This window comes from Homo sapiens, chromosome 19 (assembly GCF_000001405.40).
Source record: "Homo sapiens chromosome 19, GRCh38.p14 Primary Assembly".
NCBI classification, from domain to species: domain Eukaryota; kingdom Metazoa; phylum Chordata; class Mammalia; order Primates; family Hominidae; genus Homo; species Homo sapiens.
In genome coordinates this window covers 42,480,649-42,506,222 of record NC_000019.10, presented here as the reverse complement: position 1 = coordinate 42,506,222, position 25,574 = coordinate 42,480,649, and the positions used below count along the sequence as shown (strand labels likewise).

Genomic DNA, 25,574 nt, shown 5'->3' with positions numbered 1-25,574 from the left:
CCCTTCTTGTCTCCCTCCATCTACCCTCTTTCATCAGCTTAGTGACCTCTCTGGAGATGGCTCTTAATTTATATCTCTAGCCCCAACTACTTCCAGAACTCATGACACCCACATCCAAATACTGTCTGAAGTTACCCATTTAAACAAGCTCTCCCACACAGCTCACTCATTTCTCCCAGTGACACCCCCTAAGTTTCCACAGCCCCTGCTCATTTGTTTCCAGATTCAATACATTGTGAAAGCCTCTTGATCCTTTTTTAACAACTGTCAGTTATGCTGTTCTCACCATTCCCATAAACCTAACTGACCCAGACCCTCAACAACACTCAAAGTCTTGCTTGACTTCTTGTCTCCAGTCTCTCCGAAATCTTTCTTGCATATGACTGCCTCATTACCCTCCTAGTACACTCCCCTATTCAAAAATCTACAGTGGCCTACTCTGGCCTATTAGATAAGTTCAAACTTCTTCTAAAGAGAAGATGTTTCTGACCGAGTGCGGTGGCTCATGCCTGTAATCCCAGCACTTTGGGAGGCCAACGTGGGTGTATCACTTGAGGTCAGGAGTTCGAGACCAGCCTGGCCAACATGGTGAAATTCTGTCTCTACTAAAAATACAAAAATTCACTGGGTGTGGTGGTGGGCGCCTGTAATCCCAGCTACTCTGGAGGCTGAGGCAGGAGAATCACTTGAACCTGGGAGGCACAGGTTGCAGTGAGCCGAGATCATGCTATTGCACTCTACCCTGGATGACAGAGCCAGACTCCATCTCAAAAAAAAGAAAAAAAAGAAGTTTCTTCCTTCCTTTATCACTACTTCCTTGTATAATTCCTCCATCCTAATTAGATCTCTCTCCCTACATATCCCTGCCCCTCCACCCCACACACAGAATTCTTAGTTCCAAGGCTACACCTAAAAACATACCAAACAGGGTGACCTCCATCTACCAGCTGCACTGTGGAGTTACCCACATCCTTCATCGCAAGCAACCTCTGACCTTGTGGAGAACAAAGACTGTAGCATTAACATGTGAACCTGAGACCCAGGACACAACCTATGTGTGGCTGAGAATCTCTTCCTGATGACCAATTCATGTGTTCATGAAAGATACAGAAATGAAAAAGGCAAGGTCCCTACCCCAAGGAATATAAAGCCCAAGACAGGAGATAAGACCTGAAAAATAATCATAATACCGAAAAAGAAAGGCGTAAATGCCACAAGAAGTCAAGAGAAATCTAATGGGAAATGTGGCTGCACGCTGGAATAACTGGGGAATTTTTTAAAAGAACAACTGATGCTCAGACTCCACCCACAAATTCCAACATAATTGGTCTGGAGAGGGATCCAGGCTTTGTAAACTTTTTTTTTTTTTTTTTTTTTTTTTTTGAGACAAGTCTCACTCTGTTGCCCAGACTGGAGTGCAGCGGCATGATCTCAGCTCACTGCAGGCTCTGCCTCCCAGGTTCAAACAATTCTCCTGCCTCAGCCTCCTGAGTAGCTGGGACTACAGGCGCCTGCCACCACACCCAGCTAATTTTTTGTATTTTTAGTAGAGACAGGGTTTCACTGTGTTAGCCAGGATGGTCTCAATCTCCTGACCTTGTTATCCACCCGGCTCAGCCTCCCAAAGTGCTGGAATTACAGGCATGAGCCACAGCGCCCGGCCCAGGCTTTGTAATTTTTAAGCCTTCCCAGACACTACTAACATATAGCCAGGATGGAGCTAATAGGTAAGACCTGGGGCTAAATCAATGGTTTTTAGCTAGGGGTATGCATCAGAATTACCTAGGGAACGTTTTCAACATACGTAAGTATATATACCATCCCTGGAAAAGCTGATACAATATGCCTGTAGTGAGACCTGGGCTTGTGTATTCTGAAACACTCCCAAGTGATTCTCACATTTATTCCGTGTTAGGAAACAGTGTCCTGAAGCACAGGTAGGAATTAAATTATAAAAAGAGTTGGAAGGACATACTATATGATGGGCATGAGATGAATAATCTATTCTGCAAAGCACAGAGAGGTACTCAAGAAGAAATTGTTGGCAACTGGCTGAACTTTAAAAGATTTGACCATACCAAGTGAGGATGGGGAATGATTGGTATTCTTATGTATTGCTAGGGGAAATATAAAATGGCACACCCACTCTAGAAAACAGTTGACACTTTCTTATAAAGTTCAATATACACTTTTACAATCCAGCAATCCTACTCATAGATATTTACCCAAGAGAAATGAAAATACATATCCACACAAACAGTTGTACATGAATGCTCATAGCAGTATTATTCATAATAGCCAAAAACTGGAAACCCAAATGTCTATCAGCAGATGAATGGATAAACAAATTACGGAATATCCATACCATAGTATACTAATCAGCAATCAAAGGGTACAATCTACAGACAAAACAAAATGGATGGGCTGGCAGCATGGCTCATACCTTCAATCTCAGCACTTTAGGAGGCCAAGGTGGAAGGATCTGCTTGAGACCAGGAGTTCAAAGCTGCAGTGAGCTATGATCATACTATGGCACTCCGGCCTGCACAACAGAATGAGACCCTCCCTGTAAGGACGCGTGGTGGCTCACGCCTGTAATCCCAGCACTTTGGGAGGCCGAGGCAGGTGGATCATGAGGTCAAGAGATCGAGACCATCCTGGCCAACATGGTGAAACCCTGTCTGTACAAAAAATACAAAAATTAGCTGGGCATGGTGGTGCGCGCCTGTAGTCCCAGCTTCTTGGGAGGCTGAAGCAGGAGAATCGCTTGAACCCGGGAGGCAGAGGTTGCAGTGAGCCGAGATCACACCACTGCACTCCAACCTGGTGACAGAGCAAGACTGCATCTCAAAAAAAAAAAAGATAAATCTTGAAAACATTATACCATGCAAAAGAAGCCAGACACAAAGGAGTGCATGCTATATAATGTCATTGTTCTTTTTCAGAGGGGGTCTCACTCTGTCACCCAGGCCGAGTGTAGTGGCACGATCACGGCTTACTGCAGCCTTGACCTCCCAGGCTCAAGTAATCCTCCCACTTCAACCTCCTCAGTAGCTGGGACTACAGATGCATGCCACCACCACACCCGGCTAATTTTTTATTTTTTATAGAGAGGAGGTCTCGCTATGTTGCCCAGACTGGTCTTGAACTCCTGGAGGCAAGTGATCTTCCCGCCTCGGCCCTCCCAAAGTGCTGGAATTACAAGCATGAGCCATTATGCCCAGCCTATATGATGCCATTTAAATGAAGCTCCAGAATAGGCAATTCCAATTAAAGATGTTAAGAATTCGCCCTAGGCCAGGCGCGATGGCTCACACCTGTAATCCCAGCACTTTGGGAGGCCGAGGCAGGCGGATCACAAAGTCAGGAGATCTAGACCATCCTGCTAACACGGTGAAACCCCGTCTCTACTAAAAAATACAAAAAATTAGCCGGGCGTGTTGACAACTGCCTGTAGTCCCAGCTAATCGTGAGGCTGAGGCAGGAGAATGAGATGAACCCAGGAGGCAGAGCTTGCAGTGAGCCGAGATCGAGCCATTGCACTCCAGCCTGGGTGACAGAGGAGCGAGACTCTCTCTCAAAAAAAAAAAAACAGAATTCGCCCTAGAGGGTGGGATTAATGACAAAGATGCTCAAGGGAGCTCTGGGGCTGATGGAAATGTTCTACATCTCAATTCAGGTAGTGATTGCATGGGTATACACATTTACCAAAAATCAACTTGTATACTTGAGATCTATAGACATTTCAATGTATTTTAATTTTACTTCAAGTTTTAAATATAAACTAAGGAAAGGAGCCACTAATTCAATCTATCAGGTACAAAGCACCTGTATTCATGTTCTATTGCTATACAATAAACCGCCACTAATTTAGTGGCTTAAAACAACACTTACTCATTAGTTTGCAGAATTCAGTTCCTTGAAGTCAGTTTGAGTTCCCCACTGTCCTGTTGTCGGCCAGGGACTATTATTAGCTCCTAGAAGACCTTTTCAGGTCCTAGCACTGTGACCTCCTCCATCTTAGCCATGGAGAACCTCTCTCAAGTCAAATCCCTCTCACACTTCTACTATCTCTGATTTTCCCTTCTGAGACCAGCCTGAGAAAAAGCTCTGATTTTGCTTTTAAAAAGCTCATGTGATTACATTAGGTCCACTCAGATCATTTCCCTTCTGATTAATTCAAAATCAACTAAGTTGTAACCTTAATTATGTCTTCAAAATCCTGTTTGCCACACAAGGTAACATAATCGTGGGTGTGGTTTCTCATCATATTCATAGTTCTAGGTATTAGGGGCCATCTTAGAATTCTGTGTACCAAGCACACATAAAGCCACTGGTGCTTTCTGGAAACTCCTTTACAATCCTGTTCTGAGGAAGTGGCAAAGAAGCCAAAAATGATCAATCCAACTTTTTGTTTTGTTTTTTTTTGAGACAGTCTCACTCTGTCACCCAAGCTGGAGTATAGTGGCACAATCTCAGCCCAATGCAACCTCGGTATCCTGGGCTCAAGTGATTCTCGTGCCTCAGCCTCCTGAGTAGCTGGGATTACAGGTGCATGCTACCACACCAGGCTAATTTTTGTATTCTTTTTAGTAGAGATGGGGTTTTGCCATGTTGGTCAGGCTGGTCTCAAACTCCTGGCCTCAAGTGATCCACCTACCTTGGCCTCCCAGAGTGCTGGGATTATAGGTGTCAGCCACTGTGCCTGGCCCCCAACTTTTATTTTTTGAGACAGGATCTCACTATGTTGCCCAGGCTGGAGTGTAGTGGCACAATCATGGCTAATTGCAGTCTTGACCTCCCAGACTCAGGCGATTCCCAGGCTCAGCCTCCTGAATAGGTGGGACCACAAGCGCATACCACCACATGGGGCTAATATTTTTATTTGTTGTAGAGACAGGGTCTCACTGTGTTGCCCAGGCTGTTCTTGAACTTCTGAACAGAAGCAATCTTCCTGCCTCGGCCTAAACAAGTGCTGGGATTACAGGAGTGAGCGACAATTTAACGTGCAGTAAGATACTGTTATTAGTCTGCTATAACACTATATGGCTGCCATATGACTATATGGCTGAGTACCAGAAAGCCTGAATTGCTTAAACAACAGAAATTAATTTCTCATAGTTTTGGAGGTGCCTTCTTGCTGTCTCCTCACATGGTCTCTTCTCTGTACCTACACATCTGTGGTGTCTCTCATTGTGTCCCAATTTCCTCTTCAAGGACAGCAGTCAGAATCAATTAGGGCCCACCCTACAGGCATTATCTTAATCACCTTTAAAGCCCCTATTTCCAAATAAAGTCACATTCTGAGACACCAGGGGTTAGGGTTTCAACAGAAGAATTTTAAGGGAACACAATTCAGCCCATGACAGAGACCAAGGACAAAAAACAGAAACAAGAAAGCAAGGACCAGGCCAGGCGCAGTGGCTCACACCTGTAATCCCAACACTTTGGGAGGCCGAGGCAGGCGGATCACCTGAGGCCAGGAGTTCAAGACCAGCCTTGGCAACATGGTGAAACCCCGTCTCTACTAAAAATACAAAAAATTAGCTGGGTATGGTGGTGCGTGCCTGTAATCCCAGCTACTTGGGAGGCTGGGGCGCAAGAATCACTTGAACTTGGAAGGTAGAGGTTGCAGTGAGCCAAGGTCATGCCACTGCACTGCAACCTGGGTGACAGCATGAGACTCTGTCTCAAAGCAAAAAAAAAAAAAAAAAAAAAAAAGGACCCCCATTTCCTCCTAGCCTAGAAATGTCTGAGTCAAGGATATACCCATTGCCCTCAAACCTCTGGCAATGTTCATACACTGACAATAGCTAGCACCAAAGTTAACCCCTGAAAAACTAAGGTTATCAGAAATTGAAAGGCATTCCAAGAAACCAACCAAATATCAAACAGGACCTTTTCTAGGTTTCTGATTATTTGTTTAACAAACATTTATTGAGGACTTACTATATGTCAAATACTAAGCTAGGTATTAAAGAGAATATGAACATTAAAAAATAAAGTCCTTCTGATTTGGATTCTGGTTCAAACAATCTTACTATTTAAAAAAGAAGAGGAGGGAGGGAAAGAACAAAGGAAGGAATCAAAGAACAAATAAATGAAAAACGGAAAGGAAGAACAATTATAAGGTAATTGCAGAAATTTGATCATTGGCTGGATATTTTATGATATTAAGGAGGAAATAATCTTTTTTTTTTTTTTTTTTTTTTTTTGAGATGGAGTCTCGCTCTGTCACCCAGGCTGGAGTGCAGTGGCGTGATCTCCGCTCACTGCAAGCTCCACCTCCCAGGTTCACACCATTCTCCTGCCTCAGCCTCCCACCACCACACCCGGCTAATTTTTTTGTATTTTTAGTAGAGACGGGGTTTCACTGTGCTAGCCAGGATGGTCTCGATCTCCTGACCTTGTGATTCACCTGCCTTGGCCTCCCAAAGTGCTGGGATTACAGGTGTGAGCCACCGCGCCCAGCCAAGGAGGAAATAATCTTTTACTGTGATAATGTTTTCTGATATGCTTGTGATACTGTTTCTTAAAATGCCCTTGTATTTTAGGAGTAAGTTGAAATATCTACAGATGAAATGATTTGATGTCTATGATTTTCTACAAAATAATTCATGGTTGGAAGGGGGAATATAGATGAGCTAAGATTGAACTGAAATGTTCATCACTGAAGCTGGATGATAAGTACATGTAAACTCATTATATTATTGGCTCTACTTTTATAACTGTTTTCCGAGAATAAAAATTCCTTGCTCTCCAGAAGCTTATAATAAAAGGAGTCAGACATTCCAACAAATAGAATACAATGACAAAGTGTTGGGTAAGCTCCAAGGGCAGCAATGGCTCTGGGATAGGCAGAAGGAGTCAGAGAAGATATCAAAGAAGAGTCCCTCGTTGACCAGAGGCTTTAAGGAAGAGTATCTCAGGCCAAGGAAAGACAAGCGGGTACAAAGGCATGTAGACATGAAGTGGCAGAGCTTCCCCACATGACTTATTAGCAGCTATGTTAGTGTGAGCGTAGGTTCTAGAACCAGACTACCTGTGCTGGAGTTCTGCTTCTGAGTGCCTGCTGTGAGACCTCAGGCAGGCTATGTGTAATGCCTCTGTGCCTCAGATTCTTTACCTATAAAACAAGGATTATAGCAATAGTAATATATACTTCAAGGGGCCGATGTCAGGAGTTGATGAGTTATTTAATGCATAAAATGCTTAGAAGACGGTGGGTAAAAAATAAATGCCAGCTATTAGCAATGGTAGCAGACTCCTAGCCCACAATACCACACATTCTGAAAAATCTCCTCCAATTTGTTAATTTATCTCCTTTTTGTTAGACTGTAAACTTGTAAAATAAGGACTGTGTCTTATTTATCTCTTTATCCCTAAAACCTAGCCTAAGACTATGCCCATAGTAGGCCTTGATCAGGAGTTCTTTCAGGTGTCAGGGTAGGGACCACCAACAGCCTCTGTCTAACTCGCTCTTTATTTCTCCATGTGATACCCTCAATTCCTGAAATTCTCTGGCTTCCTTTAGCTTCCTTCCTGTGTCTAACTCATCCCCTATTCTGCTCCAGGGTTGTTCATTTATAATTATGCCCTCTGGTCCCTCCCCTGGCAAGTGTTCCAGTGCTTCCTCTCCCTCTCCCCACAGATAAGATACTCTCTGAACAGCCTCTGCATTGCTTATTCTGCAATTAGTGAAGGGTGAGGGAGGCTGAACTCCTAGATCATACCTATTTGTGAAAAGTAGAATACTCTGGAAAAGAGAAAAGCAGGTCAGATGGCCAAAGTATAAAGCCTTCTAATGTAGCCCCAGCTTGAGGAAATCCTGTAGACATGTTTGTACCATCAGCTAAAATCTCACTGTAATGTTCTGAGGGTTTAGAAACTGCTAGGGAGGAAGGAGGCATGATGAGCAGGGAGCCCAGCTTTCTATCAATTTTTGCAAACTTCAGTATTTCTTTTTCCTCTGCTAGTAAACGTCCTCATTTTCCCTCAGAGCAGAGTCAGAGAGAAAGAAAATTGAAAGATCCATTTTCATATCCGGAGCCTGAAAACTGAGAACATGCAAGACTACAGATGGCTACTGACTCTACAGATGAAGTAGGAAAGTCAGATGCAGCTCCCTCTGTGTACAAAGTGCCCTCTGCCCTAAGCTGTGATGTGCGGCTGGAACATGATCCCAGTCTCCCCAAGAGTGGGGACTGCTGGTAGATCATTAACTAACTACCCACGAGCAGAAGGAAAAAGAGACCTCTGAAGTACCTCGCTCTACCCATTCTCCCAGTTTCCTCTGAGAGGACAATTCAAGGCCATGTCCCCAGCCTCAGGTTTAAGGGTTCTTTAATACAAAAAGAGTGGGGGAGGGGATCACAAAGCAGAAACAGGACACTGGAGAAAACAGACTGACCATGCTTTGTTTAAAGGTCAAAGTCTTGTGAAGCATGCCAATCTTTCTTCATTGCTTAGGCTCTGTATGATGTGAGCCTTGTCCTGTACTTGGAGCACTATGTGAACCCAGAGCTTTCCTTGCTTGGGGCTAGAGAAATAAAAAGGGGTAACTATTTAAAAAAGGCCAATAAACATAAACAGACTAGCAAGTATCTGAAATCCTAAGTGTGATTATAAGGAAGTGAAACTGATTTTCTTGTAGGCCTCAGACTGGTTTTGAAAGTAACTCTACATGGCAAGTTGACCAAAATATTTTGAGTAATGATGACAGAATTTTTTGAATAGATGTGTATTTATTCCCAGGACAACTACTTTTAAGGTGCCCATATTTATCTGGATATGATATACTTGTTAACAGAATCCTATACCTATAACTCACATGAGTTTCATAACTTTTTTGTCTTAACTTACATAGGACTGAGGAACAGTTTAATACTAGCAGGAGTTTAAATGAGCCAATTTCCCCATTTGAAGCCTTCCTGGTTAATTCCATCAGCCAGCCCTGTTTCGTCCAGAGGAGAAGGAGCAGGAATGGAAATGGACAGAAACAGACATGACATTCTCCCACTTCCATTTAACTCAAGAAGGGCTTTATTATCTTTATTGGAGAATTAGGCTTTGCTTATTCACTGGCTACTTCACATCAGACAGAGAAACTTAATTAATATAAATTATTCAAAGAACCAGCTGTAAAATTTATCACTAAAGTAACAAAGTACAGGGCAAGAGTTATTAGTGCTTCATGCATGTTTCAGCTTATTCTCTAAAGCTCAGCAACTTCTCTCTTCTTAAGAATTGTAAACCCTCCATACTGTCAGAGGTGTTCGAACCAGAGCAACTCCATATTGAACTGGGGCTGGGTAAAATGAGGCTGAGATCTGCTGGGCTGCATTCCCAGGAGGTTAGGCATTCTTAGCTGCAGGATGAGCTAGAAGGTCAACACAAGATACAGGTCACAAATCCCCTGCTGATAAAACAGGATGCAGTAAAGAAGGTGGTCAAAACCCACCAAAACCAACATAGCGATGAAACTGACCTCTGGTTGCTCTCACTGCTCATTATACACTAATTATAATGTATTAGCATGCTAGAAGACACTCCCCCCAGCACCATGGCAGTTTGCAAATGCCATGGCAATGTCTGGAAGTTACCCTATATGGTCTAAAAAAAAAGAGGAGCCCTCAGTTCTGAGAAATCCCTGCCCCTTCCTTGGAAAACTCATGAATAATTCACCCTATATTTAGCACATGATCAAAAAATAACCATAAAAATAGCCAACTAGCAGCACTCAGGGCTGCTCTACCTATGGAGTAGCCATTCTTTTGTTTCTTTACTTCTCTAATAACCTTGCTTTCACTTTATGGACTTGCCCTGAATTCTTTCTTGTGCAAGATCCAAGAACCCTCTCTTGGGGTCTGGATTGGGGCCCATTTCCCATAACATCTTCCAGAGAACCATGAAGGGACAATACTGGAGAGACCCCCGACTCCAAAGGAAAATTATCCATGCAGCACCAATTGGCTGACTCTGGGTAAGTGCTGGGGTACATTTTATCCTGGGTAAAGGACAAAGTTGGGTTAGAGGCCCAACCTGAAAGGGTTAGAATACCTTCTAAGACATAGCGGGTTGTGCTCGCTTCAGCAACACATATACTAAAATTGGACTGATACACAGAAGATTAGCTAAAAATTTTTATATATTAAAAGAGAAAAGGAAGGAAGGAAGGGAGGGAGGGAGGAAGGAAGATGGGAGGGAGGGAGGGAGGGAGGGAGGAAGGAAGATGGAAAGGAAGGAGGGAAAGGGGGAGAGAGGGAGAGAGGGAGGGAGGGAGGGAGGAAGGAAGGAAGGAAGGAAGGAAGGCAGGCAGGCAGGCAGGCAGGCAGGCAGGCAGACAGGCAGGCATAAGGGGTTAAAAGGCCCATCACAGTAAAGGGCAAAGACGCTTGTCTGAACTTGGGTTAAAGGCTCAACTTAGGAAGGTCAGAGTCCCTCCTAAGACATAGGGAGTTAGAGGTCTCCCTTGGTAACACTGTTCTTGGTTAAAAATGGATTTGGTACTACGGGATGTTAACCACTATTCTCTTTGGATTAATCTGCCTTGCGCTCTTTGCTGAAGGCTATGAGTGATAGGATTAGGCATGTACAGGATCGTGGGACACAGGGAGCTTTTTTCTCCCTAAAGGGGGAAACTTGAGAGCCAATGAGACTACCAGAAAAGATCCCTTCAAGACTGACGATCAGCTGCCTGAACATTTGATCCAGTGTCGCTGCAATGGGTGGGTCTTTCCCTGGCCCCCCGAGCTCCTTGCCTCCCCTGCCCTGCTGCAGGCAATGCTTTTCTCCCTCTCCCTTCCCTTTCCTCTCTCTCTCTGTGCGCAAACCAGTTGAATGCATGGTAAAAATCACTTTTTATCTCCTCTGCAAAGTTTTCATTACTGGGAAAAAGGATTTATGAAGCTAATCTTAGGCTGTAACAAATCCAGTGTAATTTGTGCTATGAATTTGTCTTTCTGTGTCGTTCTGTCATAAAAAGAGATACCACAGGATAGAATGCAGGCCAAGGACCCCTGTAAGCCCTCTGTTCAAGCCACCCCAGAAAGCTGTTCAGTTACAAATTGCTGCTGGTTAATGAAACCAAAAAACAAAACAAACAAACAAACCAAAAACCTGGATGAGGTTTCTCCTTCATCTTGTTTTATGTCCTTGGGAGTCTGACATTGTAACCATGGTACTTTCTCTTGGTCTCTGCCATCTGGAGGGCAGGAATTTGGGGGCTCATGTCACAGCCCTAAAAATTATCTTGAGCAGTTAAAAGCCTTAGCAAGTTCAAAATTGGCTGCTCTAGGCTCCTTCTGGGAAGAATAACAGAAACTGCCCAATGTTGTAGCTCAGTAGCTAAGATTTCATCTTTTCACAATGGTGGCCTGGGTTCAATTTCCAGCCTGGGGAATAAGTCCTTTCTGGTTTATTTGTGTGACCTTTACCATTTATTAATTCCTTTCCTCTCCATGAACAACTTCTTTTTTATTTTTTATTTTTATTACTTTTTGTTTGTTTGTTTTTGCCCATGACATAACCCTCAGGAGATCCTGAGAACATGTGCCCCCATCCATGAACAACTTCTGGCTTCCCTTCTCAAATTTTCCTTTCTCTGTGCTACCTTTAGAGATTCTATATCTTGTAAAAACTGCTTACCAACTCTTTGGAAATACCCGGTACACCCACAGTTAAGTCATAACCTTAGTTAAAACTTATTGGTTTCATCTGGGAAGTTACCTTTGGTAAAGTCCAAAAGCCAGAAATATTGGCTGTTTGTCTTAACTAGAATCTAGTAATAAGAGATTTGGTTAAAAGCTGGCTTAATTTAAAGCAGATGTCCAAGCGATGCATACGTTTTAAAGGCCTTTATGGTTTTTTTCTTGGATCTTACTTTTCTGGAAAAAACAAAAACTTTTTCTTCTCAGACGACTGAATTCTCTTTCTCCAGTTTTTATTCTTGCCACCTTCATGCCCACATAAGAGGACCTAAGATAATTTCTGACAGCTGGGACTCCTTGGGAAAAACAGGGGTGACACAGACCCCATTTTGGGGAAACTTCTCTTTTCTTCATGGAACCCCAGCAATTAAAAGTGGATAGGCCGGGCACGGTGGCTCACACCTGTAATCCCAGCACTTTGGGAGGCTGAGGCAGGTCGATCACGAGGTCAGGAGTTCAAGACCAGCCAAGATACTGAAACCTCATCTCTACTAAAAATACAAAAATTAGCTGAGCATGGTGGCGGGCGCCTGTAATCCCAGCTACTTAGGAGGCTGAGGCAGAGAATTGCTTTAACTCATGAGGCGGAGTTTGCAGTGAGCTGAGATTACACCACTGCACTCCAGCCTGGGTGACAGAGCAAGACTCTGTCTCAAAAAATACAAAATAAAAGAGGATAGATGCCTCTCAAAATCTAAGGCTCTGTTCTGTTTTGCACTGCATTACCTGACATTTTGATTTTTGGGGGGTATCAGAAATTACTTTGCATTGGCCGGGTGCAGTGGCTCACGCCTGTAATCCCCACACTTTGGGAGGCCGAGGCAGGTGGATCACCTGAGGTCAGGAGTTTGAGACCAGCCTCAACATGGAGAAACCCCGTCTCTACTAAAAATACAAAATTAGCGGGGCATGGTGGTGCATGCCTATAATCCCAGCTACTCGGGAGGCTGAGGCAGGAGAATTGCTTGAACCTGGGAGGCGGAGGTTGCAGTGAGCCAAGATTGCGCCATTGCACTCCAGCCTGGGCAACAAGAGAGAAACTCTGTCTCAAAAAAGAAAAAAAAGAAATTACTTTGCATTATGAGAGAGCTTTTAGCCTCCATGTGTAATAACTAGGTAGGAAATATATTTAAGGGACGGCTAATGGCAGTTATGGGGGGATACTCAGCTCTTTGCATGTTTGGATCAGAGAAACATGCTCTCAGCCACCTAAAAGGTATGGAAACATCCACAACTCCCACTGAGAGATAAGTCTCCCATGGGAGATGGGCTGATTACCTCTTTTTTGGGATCCAGGATCCAGTACAAAAATGGGTCCCTTGGCAGGGCCCAGTGGCTCATGCCTGTAATCCCAGCACTTTGGGAGGCCGAGGCGGGCAGATCACGAGGTCAGGAGATTAGAGACCATCCTGGCTAGCACAGTGAAACCCCGTCTCTACTAAAAATACAAAAAATTAGCCGGGTGTGGTGGCGGGAGCCTGTGGTCCCAGCTACTCGGGAGGCTGAGGCAGGAGAATGGTGTGAACCCAGGAAGGGGAGCTTGCAGTGAGCTGAGACCGCGCCACTGCACTCCAGCCTGGACGACAGAGCGAGACTCCATCTCAAAAAAAAAAAAAATGGGTCCGTTAATTCTTGGGGAATCTGTTTTGCCTTCCAGCTGTGTCTGCTTATTAGGTTCTAGAAACCGCATGCTTCCCTGGCATTGTTCTTTAAAAGGCTCCACCCGAAAGCCAGTCAGTAATTAACTTAACTTACATCCTTAGAGAAATCTCCATGTGTAAGAGTGTATGTTTTTCCTAGCTGTCTTTTTTTTTTTTTTTTTTTTTTTTTGAGACAGAGTTTTGCTCTTGTTTCCAAGGCTGGAGTGCAATGGTGCAATCTCGGCTCACTGCAACCTCCACCTCCCAGGTTCAAGTGTTTCTCCTGCCTCAGCCTCCCGAGTAGCTGGGATTACAGGCACCCGCCATCATGTCCAGCTAATTTTGTATTTTTTTATTAGAGACTGGGTTTCACCATGTTGGCCAGGCTGATCACAAACTCCTGACCTCAGGTAATCCACCCAACTTGGCCTCCCAAAGTGCTGGGATTACAGGCATAAGCCACCACGCCTGGCCCTGGCTGTCTTAACTGAACTGTTATTCACACCACTTTTCCTTGGTTTGAATAAAACATGAATTCTCTATTTTGTTTCATCTAAGAGTTGGCCCTTTGGAAATGTAATTTAGTATTGCTTAGCTGACAATTAGGACAGGGGACAGAAGAAAATAGAAAAAAGGTAGAAAGAGAAAAAAACAGTAGGGGAGAGAGGTGTGAAGAAAGTTATGGATATGAAGATGTATTTTTGGTAAGGAAAGTTATAAAGAAAAGAAATATTATGTGAGAAAAGATCTTGTATGGTAAATCCTTGTCCTAAAGTAGAATGACTGATTATTTAGGAAAAAGGGAAATGTAAGACAAGTTAGAAAGTCTAGATGGTCTGTGTAAGTCATGATAGGGTTCATAAAATGGGAAAGAAAAACTTAAAAACTGGCAAATGAAAAATCTTACAACTATTGGTTCTGCTTCTGTCTGTGTATCTAAGTTTTGTTTTTTGTTCTTGTTTTTGTTTTTCTTGTCTGTGTATTTATATGTGTTGTGTGTGTGGTATTTATATAAAAAGCTCCAATTAATTGGCTTTAAGAAAAGTGCTGAAATCAAATATTTTGTCAGAAAAATAAAAACTTTAATGCCTTTTAGTTCACATGACTTTAGTAATCTTTATGAAATAAAGACACTTTTCAAGATTATTGGTAAAATAAAAACATCTTCAAAACTTAAGACATTTAGTCTAAATTAGGTAGGTCAAATACTATCTTTGCTAGACGGTTTAAGGTTATAAACTACTTCTTTGACTTTTGATACTTGTACAACTTACCTGCTTTGTAGCTAGATTCTAGGTAAGGCCTGGGGACATATGGAGTTATCCATGCCCCCAACTATGTTGGAAATAGTCAGACCTTATCTGCATTTCTGTCTGGTGTCCTAGGCTACACACCTGGCACATAAATAAAATTGCTTACTTACCAGGTCTTTCACCAAAAATAAAAGTTGCTAAGAGTTAACATTGTAACATATGTAATTGAGACTACTAGAGAAACAGTTTTACATGCAAGGTATATAAGGAAAGTAGAATGTGTTTTTGGTAAAAGATTATAAGAAAGTATGGGGATGTGTTTTTTTCCCTAATTTAGAGAGTTAAAGGATAGGATAAAGCTGATGTTTGAGTAAGTTGTGAAAGGTTTATGAAAGATTAGTGTTGTAAAAGAAATTCTGTATGAGAATATACTGGCTAAAATTAAAGGGGTATTATTCAATTTATCTGTAAATTGAACATTGGAATAAAAGCATAACATGGCTTTCTTAGAGCATGGTTCTATTCTTTAACCAAAAAAAAACTGTAAAGAGTTATAAAAGGTTTATAAGAATCTAACCTTATGATAAAACGATTAAGATTAGGCAGATTTGTGTATAAGATTTTTTTTTTTGGCCAGGCACGGTGGCTCACGCCTGTAATCCCAGCACTGTGGGAGGCCAAGGCGGGTGGATCATAAGGTCAGGAGATCAAGACCATCCTGGCCAACATGGTGAAATCCTGTCTCTACTAAAAATACAAAAATTAGCTGGGTGTGGCGATGCACACCTGTAATCCCAGCTACTCGGGAGGCTGAGGCAGGGGAATGGCATGAACCTGGGAGGTGGAAATTGCAGTGAGCCAAGATCACACCACTGCACTCCAGCCTGGTGACAGAGTAAGACTCCATCTCAAAAAAAAAAAAAAAAAAAAAAGATTTTTTTTTTTTTTTTAAGAGACAGGGTCTCACTGTGTTGCCCAGGCTGGTCTTGAACTCCTGGGCTCAAGTGATTCTCCTGCCTCAGCCTCCCAAAGTGTTAGGATTACAGGCATGAGCCATTGCACCTGAACAGATTTGTCTATTAGGTTTTATTAAGAACTGGATTTAACATCAATATAGTACACTAACATAAAGGTGAGACTTGGCTTTCACTCTTGAACAAGATTTTTGTGTAATTTTTTTTAATGAAAGATTTTTGTTTGCCTTTTGAATAAACTACAGGAAAAAGAATGAAAGAAAAGAGAAAATTATTTGGAAAGCTAAGTCTTCCCTCTATCAATGAGTAAAGGTTTTCCCCCCCTTTTTTTTTTTTTTTTTTTTTTTCAGGTAGAGTCTCACTCTGTCACCCAGGCTGGAGTGCAGTGGAACAATCTTGGCTCACTGAAACCTCCGCCTCCCGGGTTCAAGCAATTCTCCTGCCTCAGCCTCCCGAGTAGCTGGGATTACAGGCGTGCACCACCACGCCTGGCTAATTTTTTGTATTTTTAGTGAGACGGGGTTTCACCATATTGGCCAGGCTGGTCTCAAACTCCTGACCTTATGATCCGCCCACCTCAGCCTCCCAAAGTGCTGGGATTACAGGCGTGAGCCACCATGCCCGGCCAGGTTTTTCCCTTTTTAAAATCTTTATCATTTTGGCTCAATGACTTACAGTGTGCTGGGATTCTATTTTATATCAAGTATTTTAAAACTTTAATATTTGAAAACTTTCCAAAATCAAATTATAAGTTGCCTTTTTCTGACCTGATTAATCCTTTAGATATCAGGTACCCTAAAGTCCAAAAGAGACATATTTGGCTTATTTGGTATATTAAAATCATACAGGAAGCACTGTCAAATATGAAACAGTGTTTGGCTTTCTTTGGGTGTATTTGTATAAATGTGTTATTGGTATGTTTTCCAAAATTATGCTATACTCCTATAATACTGATATGACTTAGTGTATATTATCAGTAATAATTATAATTGTTTTGTAAAATTGTTGTATGCCACAGAAGTAACCATGACTGCCATAATAATTTTTGTCATCCACAGACAATTGTTGTCTTATTTTGATCCTCTTTAAAGAGCAGTTTATAATCAGCTATAGGACTCTGATGAGTACTCTTAAATGCAGGCCTTTGATAACTTTGGAAAGTGTGCCATTAAAATAGAGAAGAAAGAACTTCAAAGACTCTCTTGGAAAACTAATGTGTACATAAATGTTGAGTGAAACAGGAACTAATTGCATAGACTGAACTAACAAAAGATGAAAATAATCTTTTTATGACTTTTTGCCTAAAACATTGCTGATCCTTTCTGTCTTTTCAGAGTCAAGAATACTTTTCTTTTGAGCTATTTACAGCTTTTAACAAGTAAAATATATTCCTATAAAGAAAATTTGGAGCATATTTCTTTCTCCAAAATTTGGAAACTGTAAGTATTCTTGACTATGGCAATATTTGCACAAGTACAATAACAATCTGTTTTCTTTCGTAACAGGACACCATTGGAGACAATGGTTCTTTTATGAAGGCTTTGACTGGAATGGCATGCCAGGTACAAAAAGACTACTTTTAAGGAATCAAAGTTGACTTACAGAGTCAGAAAAAGCCCCCTGGGAAAACTGGCCTCGTGCCTTGTCTATGCAGTCCTTGTACAGCGATCCTGACCTGTGGTAAGTAAAGAATGTCACTTTCTAAAGAATGTCACTTTTTTTTTTTTTTTTTTTTTGAGAGAGTGTTTCACTCTGTCACCCAGGCTGGAGTGCAGTGATATGATCTTGGCTTACTGCAACCTCCGCCTCCCACGTTCAAGTGATTCTCCTAACTCAGCCTCCGAGCAGCTGGGATTATAGGCATGTGCCACTATGCCAGGCTAAATTTTTTTTGTATTATTAGTAGAGACAGGCTTTTCACCATGTTAGCCAGGCTGGTCTCAAACTCCTGACGTCAAGTAATCAACCCACCTCAGCCTCCAAAAGTGCTGGGGTTACAGGTGTGACGACCACACCTGGCCAAAAATGTCACTTTCTGGCCCAGGAGTCCCAATTATCCTGGGAAATTGAGAGGAAAGAAATGTACCCAATTCATACGAGTATTTGAAGGTACAAACCCGTGGCTAGGATCAGTGCTTTAAAAGCTCTAATCTGAGATTCCTTATGGAACAAAGTTCCATCAAATCCAATTTAAAAAGAGCCTATATGGCAAATAATTACTCTTGCTGCACTTTATACAAATAATCAGACCTAGTATAATAAGACTAAAACTTAGTTTGCAAATAAATGAGTCCTACCATGATTTGTTTTTAATAAAAATGGGAATGAGAGAAAAATTATTTTTCAAAAACCGTGATACACCTGTTATTAGATTCTAGTCTCATCTGTTGAGTTTTTTCTGCAATTTAGACTGACTCTGCTTCTTCCTGTGAACCAACCAGTGATCTCTGGCTGCTGCTCAGAAGAAACAAAAGGGGAAGGTAATGTAAAAATCTGGATCAATATTTTAATTCTGGGCATGTATTGGAATCAGCTAGTGACTGTATCAGCTTGGTTCCAACAACTGCCCCGTTCATGAAAAGCTTTCTTATTTAGTTCACTTGGAATAATTTTACTTATTTCGCTTTACTTTTGTGGAATATATTGCTGTCATATTCTTTGTGTAAAAATGCAAGAAAAGCTTATTCAATGTTTTCTTAAATTGAGCACTTATTAGTCTTTCAGATATCACCTTTTGTCAGAACTCAGAGTTATGACGGGCCCTCACCATACTGAGGCTTTCTGACTGAGCTCCTCTCTACCCTGGATACAAGAGACCCTAATAGGCAGGAATATCATTGCCCCTAGTCAGCCTAAAGAAGTTACAGTGGATGGATCTTTGCCCCTCTGCAACCCTTAGGATTAAAGATCCCCTTGTAAAAAGGAGGGGGGAAATATGTCAGAAGTGTTTGAACCAGAGCAACTGCATCTTGAACAGGGTCTGGGTAAAATAAAGCTGAGACCTGCTGGGCTGCATTCCCAGATTAGGCATTCTTAGTTGCAGGATGAGATAGGAGGTCAGCACAAGATACAGGTCACAAAGACCCTGCTGATAAAACAGGATGCAGTAAAGAAGCTGGCCAAAACACGCCCAAACCAAGATACAGATGGAACTGACTTCTGGTTGTCCTCATTGCTCTTTATACACTAATTATAATGTGTAACCATGCTAGAAGACACTCCCACCAGTGCCACGACAGTTTACAAATACCATGGCAATGTCTAGAAGTTACCCTAAATGGTCAAAAAGGAAAAGGAACCCTCAGTTCCAAGAAATCGCCACCCCTTTCCTGGAAAACTCATGAATAATCCACCCCATATGTAGCATATAATCAAGAAATAACCACAAAAATATCCAACCAGCAGCCCTCAGGGCTGCTCTGCCTATGGACCAGCCATTCTTTTGTTTCTTCTCTAATAAACTTGCTTTCACTTTACTCTATAGACTTACCCTGACTTCTTTCCTGTGTAAGATCCAAGAACCCTCTCTTGGGGACTTGATCAGGACCCCATTCTGGTAATAATATGACCCAACAATTGCACTCCTAGGTATATACCCAAGAGAAATAAAAACATGTCTATACAAAAACTCATACACAGATGTCCACGGCTGGGCTTGATGGCTCACCCCTGTAATCCCAGCACTTTGGGAGGCTGAGGTGGGCAGATCACTTGAGCTCAGGAGTTCAAGACCAGCCTGGCCAACATGGTGAAACTGCGTCTCTACTAAAAATACCAATATTAGCTGGGTGTAGTTGTGTGCACCTGTAATCCCAGCTACTCAGAAGGCTGGGCCAGGAGAATCATTTGAACTGGAAAGACGGAGGTTTCAGTGATCCGAGCAACACTCCATCTCTTAGAAAGAAAGAAAATGTTCATAAGCAGCATTGTTTGTAATAGCCAAAAGCAGAAACAACTCAAATGTCCACCAACTGATGAATGGATTTACAAAACGTGGTATATACATATAATGGAAGATTATTTGGCAATAAAAAGAAACGGGGCTGGGCACAGTGGCTCACACCTATAATCCCAACAATTTGAAAGGCCAAGGTGGGAGGATCGCTTGAGCCCAGTTGTTTGAGACCAGCCTGGGTAATACAGTGAGACTTCATCTGTATAGGAAAAAAATTTTAAGTAAAAAATAAAAAGAAATAAAGTATTGATACATGATACAACATGGATAAAGTTTGAAAACATTATGCTAAGTGAAAGAAGCCAGTCACAAGAACACATATTATTCCATTCATATGAAATATTGAGAATAGGCAAGTTCACAGAAACAAAGAAGTAGATTAGGGTTCCCAGGGGCTGGAGAGAGGAGGCTGAAGGGTGGGGTGAAAAAAGGAGCAATTACTAATGGGTATGGGGTTTCTTGCTGGGGTGATGAATATGTTCTGAAGATTGATTATGGTGACAGTTACACAATTCTGTGACTATACTAAAAATCAGGCACTTGTTCTTCAAGTCACGCACTTGGGTGTCTTCCAAGCATACTTTCTCTTTTTTTATTTTCTAAAGACTTTTAAAAATAAACTTCCAGCCAGGCGCGGTGGCTTACACCTGTAATCCCAAGCACTTTGGGAAGCCGAGGTGGGTGGATCACCTGAGGTCAGGAGTTGGAGACCAGCCTGGCCAACATGGTGAAACCTCATCTCTATTAAAAATACAAAAAAAAAAAATTAGCTGGGCATGGTGGCAGGCGCCTGTAATCCCAGCTGCTCAGGAGGTTGCGGCAGGAGAATCGTTTGAACCCAGGAGGCAGAGGTTGCCGTGAGCCGAAATCACACCATTGCACTCCACCCTGGACGACAAGAGCAAGACTCCATCTTAAAAATAAAATAAAATCCCTTTGGCCATGGGGATGGTTGGAACTCAGACCTGGCAGAAAAATATGGCTCAGGAGACTAACCAGACCCCGGGGCCCATGCTGTGTAGCACAGGATGTGGCTTTTATGGAAATCCTAGGACAAATGGAATGTGTTCAGTTTGCTACAAAGAACATCTTCAGAGGCAGCAGAATAGTGGCAGAATGAGCCCAATGGGGACAGCTAGTGGTTCCAACAGTCCTACCTCAGATTCTGCATCTGTACAGAGAGCAGACACTAGCTTAAACAACTGTGAAGGTGCTGCTGGCAGCACATCTGAAAAATCAAGAAATGTGCCTGCGGCTGCCTTGCCTGTAACTCAGCAAATGACAGAAATGAGCATTTCAACAGAGGACAAAATAACTACCCCGAAAACAGAGGTGTGAGAGCCAGTTGTCACTCAGCCCAGCCCATCAGTTTTTCAGCCCAGTACTTCTCAGAGTAAAGAAAAAGCTCCTGAATTGCCCAAACCAAAGAAAAACAGATGTTTCATGTGCAGAAAGAAAGTTGGTCTTACAGGTTTGACTGCCGATGTGGAAATTTGTTTTGTGGACTTCACCGTTAACTCTGACAAGCACAACTGTCCGTATGATTACAAAGCAGAAGCTGCAGCAAAAATCAGAAAAGAGAATCCAGTTGTTGTGGCTGAAAAAATTCAGAGAATATAAATTACTTCTTGTGAAGAGACTGAAACTTTGTTTTTATTTTAATACATCATAGGAAAACATTAAAGAGCAGATGCATGGCCATTTTTAAAAAAAAATAAATAAATAAAAATAAAATAAAATAAAATAAACTTCCACTCTTGCTCTGGGAAAAAATCATTGAGGAATATACTTTAAATGGGTGAGTGGTATGGCATATAAATTATATCTCAATAAAGCTTTTTTTTTTTTAAGAAAAAAAAGAACACTGAAGCCTGGATAAAGACTGTACCAGCTGGACAGAGTTTAGATTCAGTTGTAATATCCCATAAGCCCATTAAGACCCATAGCCAACCTGTAAAACTGCAATAATCTGAACTTTGACTTTACTTTTAAAAAAAAAAACCTAACATTGAAGCCTAGGACCCCATTTTTGGTCATTCCCTACCAGCTTTGTACCACTTGTTTAATTGATTTAATGGCAAACATAGCCAAAGTAACGATGTGTATTTACTGAGCATCTATTATGTGATAGCTACTTTTCTAGGACCCAGGATTCAATAGTGAGACATGTAGTCCCTGCATACAAAATGCTTACAATACATTCACCAGGTAATCTTGAGAGGGCATGGTAAGCGCTACACAGGGGTAAGTACTGGGTACTTCAGAAGCATGACCTGGGGTTGGGGTGTTAGCATAGCATAGCACAGAAGAAGGGATGTCTAAACCAAAGATAACTAAAGTTGATAAGAAAGAGGCGTAACAGGAGCATTCTAGGCAGACAGAATAACTGCAAAGGCCCAGATACAATAGAGAACAGGGGTATTTAAGGAATTAAAGTATGTGTTGTGTACCTGGAGTACAAGAATGGGGGAAAGGTGGGGGCAGGATTAGCACAGATGAAGCTGGAGAAGACTGAGTTCTTTTAAATTTGTAATATAACAACAACAAAAAAAGCTTGGGGGCCCTATTGAAGAGATCAAAGTGCATCCTGAGGGCAACAGAGAACCATTTAAAGGGCTTTAATATTAGGGAAAATGTGATTAGAATTTTGTTTCATACATCCACTTCACCCACACTGCAGAAAATGAATTAGAGTGGCATGGAATTAGACTGAAGACAAAAAAGTGGAATCAGAGAGAAGGCTGCTGCAGTGATCTAGAAAAGGAAATGGCTGAATCAGTAGTGTGAGTAAGGTTGGAAAAAGAAGTGGACAGCTTGAGAGATATTTAGCAGGTAGTATTGTCAAGACTGAGTGATCGACTAGATGTGGGGGTGATAAAAGAGTAATCAAAGATGGTGGCCAGATTTCCGGTGTGGATCTTTGTGGGGTACCATCCACTGAAATTTTTTTTTTTAATTTTTTGAGACAGGGTCTCACTCTGTCACCTAGGCTACAGTGCAGTCATGTGATCACAGTTCACTGCAGACTCAACCTCCGGGGCTCAAGCAATCCCGACCTCCTGAGTACCTGGTACTATAGGCACATGCCACCACGCCGAGCTAATTTTTTTTTTTTAAGACATGAAGTCTCATTATGTTGCCCAGGTCACAGGCATGAGCCATCGCGCCCAGCCATCTCTGTCTCTCTTTAAATGGAGATGGGGTCTTACTCTTTGCTTGGTCACAAACTCCTGGACTCAAGCAATCCTCCCGCCTCAGCCTCCCAAAAGTGCTGGGATTACAGGTGTGAGCTGCTGCACCTGGCTAAAATTTTGTTTTAAACAATCAAGTTTAGAGGCAAGATAAGTTCAGTTTTTTTGGACATGTTGCATATTCAAAAGCAGATGTCCAATAAACTGTTGAGATATACAATTCCAGAGAGATGGAGGGCTGGGTGCAGTGGCTCACACCTGTAATTCCAGCACTTTGGGAGGCCAAGGCAGGCGGATCACTTGAGGTCAGTAGTTTGAGACCAGCCTGGCCAACAAGGCGAAACGCTGTCTCTACTAAAAATACAAAAACTAGCCAGGTGTGGTGGTGGGCACCTGTAATCTCAGCTACCTGGGAGGCTGAGGCAGGAGAATCGCTTGAACCCGGGAGGGAGAGGTTTCAGTGAGCAGAGATCATGTCACTGCACTCCAGCCTGGGCGACAGAGGGAGACTCTGTCTCAAAAAAAAAAAAAAAAAAAAAAAAAAAAAGAGAGAGAGAGAGAACGAGAGAGATGGAGGACAGGCACAGTCGCTCACACCTGTAACCCCAGCCCTTTGAAAGGCTTAGGTAGCTGAATAGCTCGAAGCCAGAGGAGTTCAAGATCAGCCTGTTCAACATAGCAAGACCCTGTCTCTACCAAAAAAAAAAAAAAAAAGTTTTTAATTAGCTGGGCACAGTTGGCCAGGCACGGTGGCTCACACCTGTAATCCCAGCACTTTGGGAGGCCGAGGTGGGCGGATCACGAGGTCAGGAGATGGAGACCATCCTGGCTAACACGGTGAAACCCCATCTCTACTAAAAATACAAAAAAATTAGCTGGGCGTGGTGGCGGGCACCTGTAGTCCCAGCTACTCGGGAGGCTGAGGCAGGAGAATGGAGTGAACCCGGAAGGCAGAGCTTGCAGTGAGCTGAGATTGCGCCACTGCATTCCAGCCTGGGCAACAGAGCGAGACTCTGTCTCAAAAAAAAAAAAAAAAAATTAGCTGGTTACAGTGGCTCACACCTGTATCCCAGCACTTTGGGATGCTAAAGTGGAAGGATTGCTTGAGTCCAGGAGTTAAAAGTTATAGTGAGCTATGATCGCACCACTGCATTCTATCCTGGGCGAAAGAGTAAGACCCCATCTCTGTTTAAAGAGAGAGAGAGATGGCCGGCGTGATGGCTCACGCCTGTAATCCCAGCACTTTGGGAGGGCGAGGCGGGCAGATCACAAGGTCAGGAGATTGAGACCATCCTGGCTAACACAGTGAAACCCCGTCTCTACTAAAAATACAAAAAATTAGCCAGGCGTGGTGGTGGGCACCTGTAGTCCCAGCTACTCGGGAGGCTGAGGCAGGAGAATGGCATGAACCCAGGAGGCAGAGGTTGCAGTGAGCCGAGATCACACCACTGCATTCCAGCCGGGGCAACAGAGCAAGACACCATCTCAAAAAAAAAAAAAAAGAGAGAGAGAGAGAGATGGGCCATTCATCAGGTATCAATTATAACTGAAGTCACAGAGGGAACATGAGTATATAGAAAGAGAAGAGGACATTAGGACAGAACCCTACAGACCAATGACATTTAAGGAATGGAATGGACACATCAGAGAAGGTGGTAAGGAAAACTCAAAAGGAACGGGCGAAGAGGTAGAAGAGAACCCAACAGTGTGAGGGCCAGAGCAGCAGTTCCAAAGCAAAGCACTGGCGGACTGTGGTAAGTGGGCTGCAACGCCAAGTAAAACAAGGGTGAAAGGGTCATTCTATTTTGCAACTGTGTCATCATTGGCGACACTGGTAAGAGTAGTTTTGGTTGCACAACGGGAATAAATCTACTCTAGGATGCTCAGGAGTAGATGGGAGATAAGTAAATGGAGATAGTAACTATAAACTCTTTTTAAGTATTAGTTTAGGCCAGGCACGGTGGCTCAAGCCTGTAATCCCAGCAATCTGGGAGGCCGAGGAGAGCAGATCACCTGAGGTCAGGAGTTTAAGACCAGCGTGGCCAATATGGTGAAACCCCGTCTCTACTAAAAATACAAAAATTAGCCGGGCGTGGTGGTACATGCCTGTAGTCCCAGGTACTTGAGAGGCTGAGGCAGGAGAATTGCTTGAACTCGGTAGGAGGTTGCGGTAAACCGAGATTGCAACACTGCACTCCAGCCTGGGCAACAGAGCGAGATACTGTCTCAAAAAAAAATAATAAGCATAAATAAATAAATGTTTGCTTCTAAAAAAAGAAGAGAGTGATACGGTAGAAGCCAGTAAGAGAAGTAGAGTTCAAAAAGGGGATTTTTTAATATAAGACAGGCTTAAATATATTTAAATATTGAAATATTGAAATAGATGCACAGTTTTTAGTTTCCTATTACGATCATGCTCTTTCTTCTAACTACTTCCTTCCTTCTCACAGGAAATTATTACTGAAATACCAAGCATTCAGCCTAGTCCTGCGGTTTGCTGCACAGAATGCCAGTCACTGAGTCAACAAGTATTTCCAGGAAGGAGGGCTTGAATCTGGTGCTGCAGTGAAGGTCAACAGGAGATAAAGTCTCAGATCAATCTCTGACAGACTGAAACTGGGGAGTTTATATAGCAGGGAAGGTGGGAAAACAGAAATTAGGGAGGGGTAGGGAAGCAGTCACGATGGATGAGGAGTCTGGTATCTCGTTGTCTGGGTGTGAGGATCTGATGGGTTTCAGTTCCTTGCCTGAGGGTAGGTTTCCTAAGGAAGGAACTCAGATGAGACAGATACAAGTTTAGAGTTCTAAGACTAGGGAAGGTCAATTTCTATGTTTATTAAAAAAACCTGTAAA

At 42.6% G+C, this 25,574-nt stretch overlaps 1 long non-coding RNA gene and 1 pseudogene across 2 annotated transcripts in view, besides 1 other annotated feature; one reads left to right on the top strand and one right to left on the bottom strand.

Moving 5' to 3' along the window:
• Window positions 1-25,574, bottom strand: part of LIPE-AS1 (LIPE antisense RNA 1) — a 255,208-nt gene that overhangs the window by 146,133 nt on the left and 83,501 nt on the right. Inside the window, exon 2 of one of the 2 annotated variants that reach the window (NR_073180.1) lies at window positions 21,000-21,127. The exons of the other annotated variant lie outside the window; for it this stretch is intronic. This is a non-coding gene — a long non-coding RNA (LIPE antisense RNA 1). The remainder of the gene's footprint in view (window positions 1-20,999; window positions 21,128-25,574) is intronic. 2 annotated transcript variants of the gene reach the window in all.
• LOC732229 (AN1-type zinc finger protein 5-like) lies at window positions 20,458-21,169 on the top strand (annotated as a pseudogene).
• Window positions 25,120-25,320: a silencer, noted in NCBI's record as "peak3491 fragment used in MPRA reporter construct". NCBI's record gives its function as "represses an SCP1 promoter by STARR-seq MPRAs in K562 erythroleukemia cells {active_cell/tissue: K562}" and the evidence as "EXISTENCE:reporter gene assay evidence [ECO:0000049][PMID:32103011]".